Here is a 12,780-nt window from a genome sequence, read left to right on the forward strand (position 1 = left end):
ATCCTCTTTGTCACAAGGAAAGCACACTGACAAAGGGACAGGAGGAGGTGGCACAGAGAGAGGAGGGAGGCAGGAGACCTAGTCTGATCCTGATAACTCGGATGTCTGGTTTCAGTGATGTGTAAAATGAGCTTCTGGATTCCCCAGTTACATGAGACAGGTAATCCTCTCTTTTGACCAATCTAGTTTGAATAAGGTTTCTGAGGTTTGCAATTCAAAGCACCCTGCTATGGTTTGAATGTGTTCTCCACAAATTCATAGGTACAAACCCTAACTCCCAAGGCAATGGTATTAGGAGGTGGGGACTTTGAGGGGTCATTAGATCATGAGAGCTTCCCCCATGAATGGGATTAGTGCCTTCATAAAACATGAGGCCCCAGGGAGCTGCCTTGCCCCTTCCACCATGTACAGATACAGTAAGAAGGTGCCATCTATAAGAAAGAAGCCCTCACCAGATGCTGCCTGTGTGCCTTAATCTTGGACTTCTCAACCTCCAGAACTGTGAGCAATAAATATCTGCCATTCACAAACCACCCTGTCTATAGTATATTGTTATAGCAGCCTGAACAGACTAAGAGACTAAGAAACCACCCCCCCACCCACCGGCCTCAACTAAAATGAAAGTTGCTAACAGAAGTAGAGGGTTAAAAGAAGCAGAATCTTAAAATGTTGAACTGGCTGAAGTGAGATGAGGCGGGTTGGAAATGTCATTATGTAGTAGATAAGCTGGTGTTAAACTCTGGCTGCTTGCTTGTGAGAATTAGATCATTTGACCACTGAAGTTGGACCTTCAGGTAAATTGGCAGAAAAATATCAGACTATTGGAGGGTTGACAGCTTCACAGGGCTTCCCACCTTTCATGTGAAGGATTTCTCCTTCTCTGTTTGTAGCAAAACTAATGGACCCATGAATCACAGCACCTCTGTACCACTAAGAGGTCGGCAAATCAGTCTCTGTCTCTGTTGGAAAATGCTATTTATCCTAGAAGATAAGTACTTTTAAAATATCACAATATCATTATCACACCTACAAGTATCAACAACATTCCCTTAATATCATCAAATAACCCCTCACTTGTCCATTTTCAATTTGAAATTGTCTCATGAATTATTTTAGCATTAAAAAGATAAGAATTCAAGAAACAAGATTCCTTGACATGACTTCCAGGTCTCTGAATTTATAAGTCCTCCTCTATCTCCCTGTTTTCTTCCTTAAAATGGTTTATTTCCCACAGTCTGGAATTCGTTTATTGAATTCCTGAATTCAATAACGAAGATTGGCCGCTGGGCCTAGAGGCTTCATCAGATTCAAATCTGATTTTGTTACAAGATGACTTTACAGGCGGTGCTGTGTACTTCCATTGGGAAAAACAGAACGTCTTGCTTTCTCTCCTTTTATTGTGAACAACCATTGATATTGAATATCTGCATTCACTAATTCTCCAGAGGCTGAAAAATCGTCAAAATCCAATTTTAGCATTCTCTTTCCATGTATTATGCTTCTTGAAAAAGAAACTTCCTCCCATCCATATTTGGTTACATGAATATACAGTCGTTATAGGAAAGGCAAGATAAGTGCTTGATCCCCTCTCTTTACTCATTTTCAAAACAATGTATAGATCCCCTGGCATCCTCCAACTGTGATCAATTATTACTGTCATTATTAATTATAATTTATTTAGTATCATACTGACATTTTCGATGTGATGTGCTTCAGTCTATTGCAGGTTTATTCTTATTAATATCTAAAGAGTTCAGCCTGCAGTGAGAACACATGGACACAGAGAGGGGAACGACACACCCTGGGGCCCGTCGGGGAGTAGGGAGGGAGAGCATTAGGGAAAACAGCTAATGCACGCTGGGCTTAATACCTAGGTGATAGGTTGATAGGTGCAGCAAACCACCATGGCACACGTTTACCTACGTAACAAGCTTGCACATCCCACACGTATGTCCCAGAACTTAAAATAAAAATAAAAAATAAAGAATGCAGAAGAAAAAAAAGGGTTTGGTTGGCTGGTAGCTCACCTCTGTAATTCCAACACTCTGGGAGGCCAAGGTGGGCAGATTACTTGAGCTCAGGAGATTAAGACCAGCCTGAGCAACATGGTGAAACACCATCTCTACTAAAAATACAAAAATTAGCCAGGTGTGGCGGTGCACGTCTGTAGTCCCAGCTACTTGTGGGACTGAGGCAGGAGGATCACTTGAACCGAAAAGGTCGAGGCTGCAGTGAGCTGAGATGGCACCACTGTACACTCCAGCCTGGGTGACAAAGTGAGACCCTGTCTCAAAAAAAAAGTTCCAAGCCTGGCGCGGTGGCTTATGCCTGTAATCCCAGCACTTTGGGAGGCTGAGGCGGGCGGATCACTTGAGGTCAGGAGTTCGAGACCAGCCTGCCCAACATGGTGAAACCCAGTCTCTACTAAAAATACAAAAATTAGCGGGGCATGTTGGTACATGCCTGTAATCCCACCTACTTGGGAGGATGAGGCAGGAGAATCGCTTGAACCCAGGAGGCGGAGGTTGCAGTAAGCCAAGACCGCGCCACTGCACTCCAGCCTGGGCAACACGAGCAAAACTTCATCTCAAAAACAAACCAACTAACAAACAAACAAAGTTCCACCTAACTGACATATACAGACCATTTCGTGCAACAGCAGCAGAAAACACGTTCTTCTCAAGCACACATAGAATGTTCTCTAGGATAGATCATAGATCATATGCTAGGCCAAAAACCAAATCTTAACATAATTAAGAAGAATTGAAATCGTATCAAGTATCTTATCTTTTCCACAATGGTATGAAACTAGAAATCACTAACAGAAAGAATTTCAGAAAATTCACAGTTATGTGGAAATTAAGCAACAGGCTCCTTAACAACAAATGAAGCTAAAAAGAAATTTAAAATTATCTTGAGGGCTGGGCACGGTGGCTCACACCTATGATCGTAGCGCTTTGGGAGGCCAAGGTGGGAGGATTGCCTGATCCCAGGCAACACGGTGAGATCCTGTCTCTATAAAACACAGAAAAATTAGCCAGGTGTGGTGGTGCATGCTGGTAGTCCCAGCTGCTTGGGAGGCTGAGATGGGAAGATCACTTGAGTCCAGGTGTGCAAGGTTATAGTGAGCTATGATCATGCCACTACACTCCAGCCTGGGCAACAGAGTGACACACTGTCTCTAAAAATAAATAAAATAAAATATTTTGAGACTAACAAGAATGGAAACATAACATACCAGAATTTATGGGATGCAGTTCTAAGAGGGAAGTTTATAGCCATAAATACCTATATCAAAAAAGAAGAAAGATCTCAAATAAACAATGTAACATCATACCTCAAGGTACTAGAAAAAGAAACACACACAAAGCCCAAAGTTAGTAGAAGGAAGAAAATAATAAAGATCAGAGCAGAAACAAATAAAATAGGGACTAGAAAAATAATAAAAAAGATCAGTGAAACTAAGAGTTGGGTTCTTGAAAAGACAAACATAATTGACAAACCTTTAGCTAGGCTAAGAAAAAAAGAGAGAAGATTAAAATAAGTAAAACCAGAAATGAAAGAGGAATAATTACAATCAATAGCACAGAAATACAAAGGATTATAAGATATTATAAATAATTACATGCCAGCAAAAGGGGGAACCTAGAAGAAATGGATAAATTCCTAGAAACATACAACTTACCAGGACTGAATCATGAAGAAATAGAAAATCTGAACAGACCAATAACAAATAAGAAGATTGAATCAGTAATCAAAAATCTCCCACCAAAGAAAAGCCCAGGACCTGATGGCTTCACAGGTGAATTCTACCAAACATTTGAGGAACTAATACCAATCCATCTCAAACTCTTCCAAAAAATTGAAGAGAGGGAATACTTCCAAACTCATTTTACAAAGCCAGTTTTACTGATACCAAAGCCAGACAAGAACACTGCAAAAAAAGAAAATTATGGACCAACATCCTTGATGAACACAGATGCAAAAATCTCAACAAAATATAAGCAAACTGAACTCAACAGCACATTAAAAAGATCCTTCACCATGATGAAATGAGATTTTCCCTTGGGATGCAAGGATGATTCCACATATGCAAATCAATAAATGTGATATAACACATTAACAGAATAAAAGATAAAAACCATATCATTATCTCAATAGGTACAGAAAAAGCATTAGACAAAATTAAACATTGCTTCAGGATAAAAATCTCAACAAACTAGGTACAGAAAGAATGTATCTGAACACAATCAAGGTCATATATCACAAGTCCACAGCGAGTGTTCTACTTAATGGTAAAAAGTTGAAAGTTTTTTCTCTAAGATCAGGAAAAACACAAGGATGCCTGCTCTTGCCACTTCTATTCAACACAATACTGAGTTCCAGCCAGAGCAAGTAGGCAAGGGAAAAAAAAAAAAAAAAGCCATCCAAATTGGAAAGGAAGAAGTTAAACTGTCTTTGTTAGCAGGTGACATGATCTTATATATGGAAGATCCTAAAGACTCCATTAAAAAAACTGTTAGAACACATTAATTTAGTAAAGTTGCAGGTTAGGCGCTTTGTAATACAGGCTGGGCGCAGTGGCTCACACCTGTAATCCCAGCACTTTGGGAGGTGGAGGTGGGTGGATCACCTGAGGTCAGGAGTTCGAGACCAAACTGGCCAACATGGTGAAACCCCGTCTCTACTAAAAATACAAAAAATTAGCTGGGCGTGGTGGCGCATGCCTATAATACCAGCTACTCAGGAGGCTGAGGCAGGAATTTCTTGAACCTGGGAGGTGGAGGTTGCAGTGAGCCGAAATTGTGCCACTGCACTCCAGCTTGGGCAATGAGAGTGAAACTCCGTCTCAAAAAAAAAAAAAAAAAAGAAAAGAAAGAAAGTCAACATACAAAAATTAGTAGTAGCATTTCTACATACTAACAATAAACTATCTCAAAAAGGAATCAAGAAAATAACTAATTTACAATAGCTACAAAATAAAAATACTTAGGAATAAATGTGATAAGGAAGTGAAAGATCTGTATATTGAAAACTATAAATTGCTGATGAAAGAAATTGAAGAATACACAAATAGATGGAAAAATATCTGGTGTTCATAGTTTAGAAGAGTTAATATTGTTTAAATATCCATACTACCCAAAGATTTCTACAGGTCCAATGCAATCACTATAAAAATCCCAATGAAATTTTCACAGAAACAGAAAAAACAATACTAAAATTTGTACGGAACCATAAAAGACCCCAAATAGCCAAAGCAATCTTGAGCCAAAAGAACAAAGCTGGAGGCATCATACTACCTGACTTCAAAATACACTACAAAACTATGGTAACCAAAACAGCATGGTACTGGGATAAAAACAGACACATAGGCCAATGGAGCAAAATAAAAAGCCCAGACATAAATCGATGCATTTACGGTCAATTGATTTCTGGCAAAGATGCCAAGAACATACAATGGGGAAAACAATCTCTTCAATAAATGGTGTTGGGGAAACTGGATAGCCATATGAAGAATAATGAAATTAGACCCTTACTTCACGTATAAAAAACAAACAAACAAAAAATGGATTAAAAATGTGAAACTGTGAAACTGGGCCAGGCGTGGTGGCTCATGCCTGTAATCCCAGCACTTTGGGAGGCCGAGTCAGGTGGATCACCTGAGGTCAGGAGTTCGAGACCAGCCTAGCCAACATAGTGAAACCCCATATCTACTAAAAATACAAAAAAATTAGCCAGGCATAGTGGCACACACCTGTAGTCCCAGCTACTTGGGAGGCTGAGGCAGGAGAATTGCTTGAACCCAGGAGGTGGAGGTTGCAGTGAGTAAAGATAGTGCCACTGCACTCCAGCCTGGGAGACAGAGTGAGACTCTGTCTAAAAAAAAAAAAGGATGTGAAACTGTAAAACTACTAGAAGAAAACATAGGGTAAAAGCTCCATGACATTGATCTGGACAATGATATTTTGGATATTACCTCAAAAGAGGATTCAACTTCCTTCTTTTAGGTATGGATATCCAGTCGTTCTACCACCATTTTGTTTTTAAAGGCTATTCTTTCCACCATTGAATTGTCTTAGCACTCTTGTCGAAAATCAATTGACTCTTATACTGAAGGAAAGCTTGGGGGTGGCGGGGGGGGACATCAATTCACCATGAATTCATGAGTTTACTTTTGAGCTCCCAATTCTATTACACATGATATGATGTATCCACATAGTCCTCATAAGTGTAGCTTTGTAGTAAGTTTTGAAATTAGAAAGTGAGTCCTCCGATTTTGTTGTTCTTTTTCAAGAATTGTTTTCATTATTTTGGGTTTTTTGCTATTCCTTATGAATTTTGGTATCAGCTTGTCAGTTTCCACAAAAATATTTGCTGGATATTGACAGAGACTGTGTTGATATTGACAGGGATTACATGGGCTTCCTCTGAAGTTTCTATTGATTGCTTTTTTTTTTTCTTGAGACAGAGCCTCACTCTGTCACACAGGCTAGAGTACAATGGTGCGACCTCGGCAGACTGCAACCTCTGCCTCCCAGGTTCAAGCGATTCTCCCATCTCAGCCTCCTGAGTAGCTGGGATTACAGGCACCCGCCATCATGCCCAGCTAATTTTTGTATTTTAGTAGAGATGACGTTTCACCATGTTGGCTAGGCTGGTCTTGAACTCCTGACCTCAGGTGATTCACTCACCTCTGCCTCCCAAAGCACTGGGATTATAGGTGTGAGCCACTGGACCCGGCTGATTGCTCCTTTTTTCTATGTATGGGCAATACTTCATTTCCTTGCATGTCTCATAATTTTTTGTTGAAAACCAGCCTCTTAAAATAACATATTATGTCAACTCTGAAAATCAAATTCTCTCCCTTCCCCAGGATTTGTTGATGTTGCTATTTATTGTTATTGCTACTTGTTGTCGTCGTTTCTTTGTGACTTTTCTGAATAAATTCCATAAAATCTGCATTTCTTATAATGTGTGGCCACTGAAGTCTCTGCTCTGTTAGCTTAGTGGTCAGCTAATTATTAGAAAGACATTTTCTTAAATTCTTGTTATCAGCAACTCTCCCAGTCTTTGCCAGGGAGCTTTGTGCGTATGTTGGAGCATGCCTTCAATACTGAACCAGGCAGCTGACAAATCTGCCTTCGTCTTTACTTCCTTCTTGCATAGAGCTTCAAGGTGACCCAGAGATGAAAGAACCTCACTGGTTCATCATAAGCCTGTGCATAGCTTTAGGTGAGTGCTTTCCAAAGATCCTATGGCTTTTCATGGCATTTCATTCCCCAACTTTTCCTTTTCAGCTTTTTGGTTAGCCTATTGCTTGTCCCAACTGTTACCTACTGCCTCAAGCAGGCATAAAATTAAGCAATTGCTCCTAATTGTTTTGACAAATGCCCCCAAGGAAAAGGCTTTTAACACTAAACAAACTTCCAGTCATGGCAAGCAAACCAGATGGGTAAAATAATGATAATTCCTGAGAAGGAGGCTTTGAAAGAGCTTCAACCTCATTTCATTCTCTCTGGTAACTACAAGCTCTGGTTTTCACTTTGATTGCCTGCTATTGGTTTTCAAGGCTGCCAGAAAACTGGAGAAAGGGAAATAGAAATAGGGGAAGTTAAGATACCACAAAGCTCACTATTCTTATCAAGATTCAGCCATTTTTCTTAAATACATGCTTTCCTAATGGCTGCAAACCTTTGGTTAATTTTCAGAGTTCTAAAATTGTTGATTTTGTTGCAGTGAGCTGAGATAGCACCACTGTACTCCAGCCTGGGCAAGAGCAAGACTTCGTTTCAAAAAAAAAAAAAAAAAAATTGTTGATTTTGACTATTTTGTCAGTTTTCTCATTGCTCTTCTGGAGAAGAGAATTTTTAGAGGTTCTTACTCAGAAATTGTCACTAACGTTACTCCAGTAAACTTTTAAAGTAAGTGCCTGGAAGTCAATATTTTAGGCTTTGTGGGCAAACTCAAGGATGTTAAACAGGCAATTATATAACAAGAGAGGGAAAAAAATTTTCACAAAATTTTAACTGATGAAATTCAAAATATGATAATAAGTACTTTTTTGTTTTATAGCTCTACTAATGAGAAGAATGAAGCTCTTTGGGGGGAGGTAACATTTTACTTAATTGGGGGTTATCATCATAACCAATTGCAAATTTTCATCTATCAGTGCTGACCTGTAAAGAGATTTTGCGTATTTCATCTTTGAAAATGTCTTTTCACAAAGATAGGTACTGCCAATTCTGATATCAGTCCACAAGCATGTGATTTTAATTGAATTTAATTGTGATTGAATTGAATTCAGTTGTGATTTAAATGTAATTTATATTCATCACATGTAAGGCATTTACAGAATTCTATTAGATTTTTTCCTTGATATTTGCCTTTTAGCATGTATTAATCACTCATTTCATTATGTATTAATCACTTCGAATTAAAGGTTATTTGGAAACTCTTCTATTGCACAGTTAAATAGACTTTGAAGCATGTAAGTTTCCTTTCAGCATACATCACATTCTAAGAAACACTGCTTACTCTGTAGCTTGAATTCCAAAAACAATTCCACAGGAAATTTGTATGGAAATGGAGATCTTCCTTTTTGTTTCAACTTTTGACAGCATGGGAAGTATTTAAAGTGACACAACATCAGCTGTGACCCAAACAATATTAGTAAAGGCAAAATGACTTTACCACAATATAAGTTTTGCATATAAGCACTGTTTTGCCTTTTAATATTAGCTTGAATTTATTAAGAAATACTTTCAAATTCACAGCAAATTCTAAGCATTATTATACTACGGTATAATAGTGGTTGACAGAGGCTATTCTTGTTCAGAAAAACTTAACTGTTGGTCCTGAGCTCAAAATATCTCAATAAAACTTCACTACCAATGAGCCTTCAAATTTCTGTGTGGTAGAACAAGTCAAGGTATTTATCATCTACTTCTGATAAAAATTCATGATGATTAAGTCCACAAGAGTTAAGTTCAGTGTTAACAGTACTCATTCAATAACACATAATTCAAATATTTTCCTCAAAATATCGATATATAATACAATGAATTTCATAGGCTTTAAACCTCTTACATTTCTGCACGCTTTATAGAGTTGTCCAGCTAAGCCTCTTGCTGCTCCACACATATTTTTACTATCATCAGTTGTAACACACCTTAATAGATTCCATTTCTGATTGTAATGAATTAATATTTTTTCAACTTCTTTAAAAATATTCTCCCCTGGCCGGGCGCGCTGGCTCACGCCTGTAATCCCAGCACTTTGGGAGGCCGAGGCAGGTGGATCATGAGGTCAGGAGATTGAGACCATCCTGGCTAACACGGTGAAACCCCATCTCTACTAAAAATACAAAAAAAAAAAAATTAGCTGGGCATGGTGGCGGGCACCTGTAGTCCCAGCTACTTGGGAGGCTGAGGCAGGAGAATGGCGTGAACCCGGGAGGCAGAGCTTGCAGTGAGCTGAGATAGCACCACTGCAGTCCAGCCTGGGCAAAAGAGCAAGACTCCATCTCAAAAAAAAAAAAAAAAAAAAAATTCTCCCCTATAGCTGTTACATGTATAAAAGCTACTCCTCCAGTCACTTAAAATTGGGCATTGACTTCTCAAGATTTTTAAAAACTGCCTGTTGGCCAGGCACGGTGGCTCACACCTGTAATCACAGCACTTTGGGAGGCTGAGGCAGGTGGATCACCTGAGGTCAGGAGTTTGAGACCAGCAGGACCAATATAGTGAAACCCCTTCTCTACTAAAAATACAAAAATTAGCTGGGTGTGGCGGTGCGTGCCTGTAGTCCCAGATACTCGGGAGGGTGAGGCAGAAGAATCGCTTGAACCCAGGAGGCAGAGGTTGCAGTGAGCCAAGATTGCGCCACTGCACTCCAGCCTGGGCAACAGAGAAAGATTCCATCTCAAAAAAAACCCCAAAACAAAACAAAACAAAACAAAACAAAAAAACAAAAAAAAACCTCGCAAAAATTAGCCAGGTGTGGTGGTGTGCACCTGTAGTCGCAGCTACTCAGGAGGCTAAGACAGGAGAATCGCTTGAACCCAGGAGGCAAAGATTGCAGTGAGCCAAGATCACGCTGCTGCACTCCAGCCTGGGTAACAGAGCGAGATTACATCTCAAAAAACAAAACAAAACAAACAAACAAAAAAACTCCCTGTTTTTTAGTGGACTATTGATGCTACTCCCAATGTCCCAAACTCTTCAACCAACTATCCTCAATGCAAGGCTAATATTCTTAAACAAGTTTGCTTTTTCTGGGTACATTTATTCAGCCATTGTAATCAAACATCATGTAATTAACTTACCATTTATAAACAGATTTCTTTCTTGGTTAACAAACGAACTACTTGATAATTTACTTTAGTTATGGATTCTTTGTCATTTTTAATTTCTGTGAAGAAATTCTGCCATGATCTCTGCAATGTTGATGCATTTCATCCTCTTCTAGAAGAGCTAGCACGTCATCGCACAAGATACAATGTTTTGTCATGTGATGTGACAGAAAATAATTCACACCCCATTATGCCTTAGAAACAGACATTCAAAGTCTACTTTTATCTTCTTTCTTTTTTTAACATGAAAGATATGTACTCATAATTTTTTTAAAGTTAGAGTGTGGCAATATATGTAGCACTCAAAATCCTGTTGTTTTTTAACTGTGTAACTGCAATTCTCATTGTGCCAAGTGGCAGTTTAAGGCAATGAGAATGCTACATCCAGCCCCTGGCACAATTCCTCACTTTCGCCAGTGCAGCACAAAAGCACCCATGGAAAAAAGTAAACAAATTAGCATGGCTGTGTCCCCATAAAAGCTTATTTATGGATATTACAACTTGAATTTCATATCACTTCATGTGCTACAAAATATTCTTTTTTTGATTGTTTAACTATTTAAAAATGTAAAAACTATTCTTAACTCACGGGCCATACAGAAACAGGTGGCAGGCCAGATTTGGTACACAGGCTATAGTTAGCCAATCCCTGCTATAATACATTTAACTTAATTTTTTGTTGTTGTTGTTGTGGAGACAGAGTCTCATTCTGTTGCCCAGGCTGGAGTGCAGTGGCATGATCTCCCCTCACTGCAACCTCCACCTCCTAGGTTCAAGCAATTCTCTTGCCTCAGCCTCCCAAGTAGCTGGGATTACAGGTGCATGCCACCATGCCCAGCTAATTTTTGTATTTTTAGTAGAGACAGGGTTTTGCCATGTTGGCCAGGCTGGTCTTGAACTCCTGACCCCAGGTGATCCACCCACCTTAGCCTCCCAAAATGCTGGGATTACAGGTGTGAGCTGCCGTGTCCGGCCAAATTTAAAGTTCATATTAATTTAATTATTTGTATAGGTAATACTTGCACATGCTCTAAACTTAATATCTTAGAGAAGGGTGGGTGGCATAAAATCTCCCCTCTACATCAGCCACCAGCTACCCAGTTCCTCTCCCTAGAGGCAACCAGTGTTGCCAGTTTCCCATGTAAGCTTCCAGAGCCACTCTGTGTATATCTAAGCAATTACACACAGATATATTTTTCTTTCTTGTGTTTACATAAAAGGCAACATACTCTACTTCATACTCACTCACATGGCTATAATCAAAGATAGCTACACTGGCAAGGAAATGGAGAAATTGAAACCTCCGTAGACTGCTGGAAGGAATGTAAAACAGTGCAGCCGCTTGCCGTATCAGCCAGCACTTCTCCCCCAGGTGTATACCCAGGAGAAAGGAAAACACAAATTCACACAAAAACTTGTACTCCAGCGTTTATGTTATTCATAATAGCCCAAAGTGGAAACAATCCAAATGTCTATCCACTGGTTAACAAACTGTGTTAAAAATGTATACAATAGAATACTACTCAGCCAAAAAGATGAAATACTGATACATGCCACAACACACTAAGCCTTGAAAGCACCATGCTAAGCGAAAGAAGCTGGACCCAAAAGTCAATGCATTGTATGATTTCATCTATGTGAAATGCCTAGAAGAGGCAAATTCATAGAGACAGAAAACAGATTGCTGGAGGAAGAAAAAATGGGAAGTGACAGCTAATGAGAACAGGATTTTTTTTTTTTTTGGAGTGATAAGAATGTTCTGGAACTGGATAATGGTGATGGTTGTACAACCTTGTGCATATACTACAAGCACTGAATTGTGTACTTAAAAAATGTATTCTATAATATGTGAATTACTTCTCAATAAAATTAGTAGCATATTATACATATGCCTTGCCTTTTTCCCTTATCATCATCTAGAGGCCAATTAAAAGGGGACGAGACATGCAATATGAAATACAGTGGTGGCTTCTGTGAGCACTGGCCAAATTAAAAATGATAGTAACCCAAATCTAAAAATGCTTGCCTCAAAAAAGGGAATATTGGCTGGGCAAGGTGGCTCACGTCTATAATCCCAGCACTTTGGGAGGCCAATGTAGGTGGATCACTTGAGGTCAGGAGTTTGAGACCAGCCTGGCCAACATGGTGAAACCCCGTCTCTACTAAAAATACAAAATTTAGCCAGGTGTGGTGGCAGGTGCCTGTAATCCCAGCTACTCGGGAGGCTGAGGCTGGACAATCACTTGAACCTGGGAGGCAGAGGTTGCCTGAGATTGCGCCACTGCACTTTAGCCTGGGCAACAGAGTGAAACTGTGTATCCAAAAAAAAAAAAGGGAAAGAAAAAGAAAAAAAAAAGGGGATATTCAAGTCTTTCTACAACTAAGTTTTTAAAAACTCTGTAACTGGTTATAAGTAGGCTGAAAACTGA

This window comes from Homo sapiens, chromosome 20 (assembly GCF_000001405.40).
Source record: "Homo sapiens chromosome 20, GRCh38.p14 Primary Assembly".
Lineage (NCBI taxonomy): Eukaryota > Metazoa > Chordata > Mammalia > Primates > Hominidae > Homo > Homo sapiens.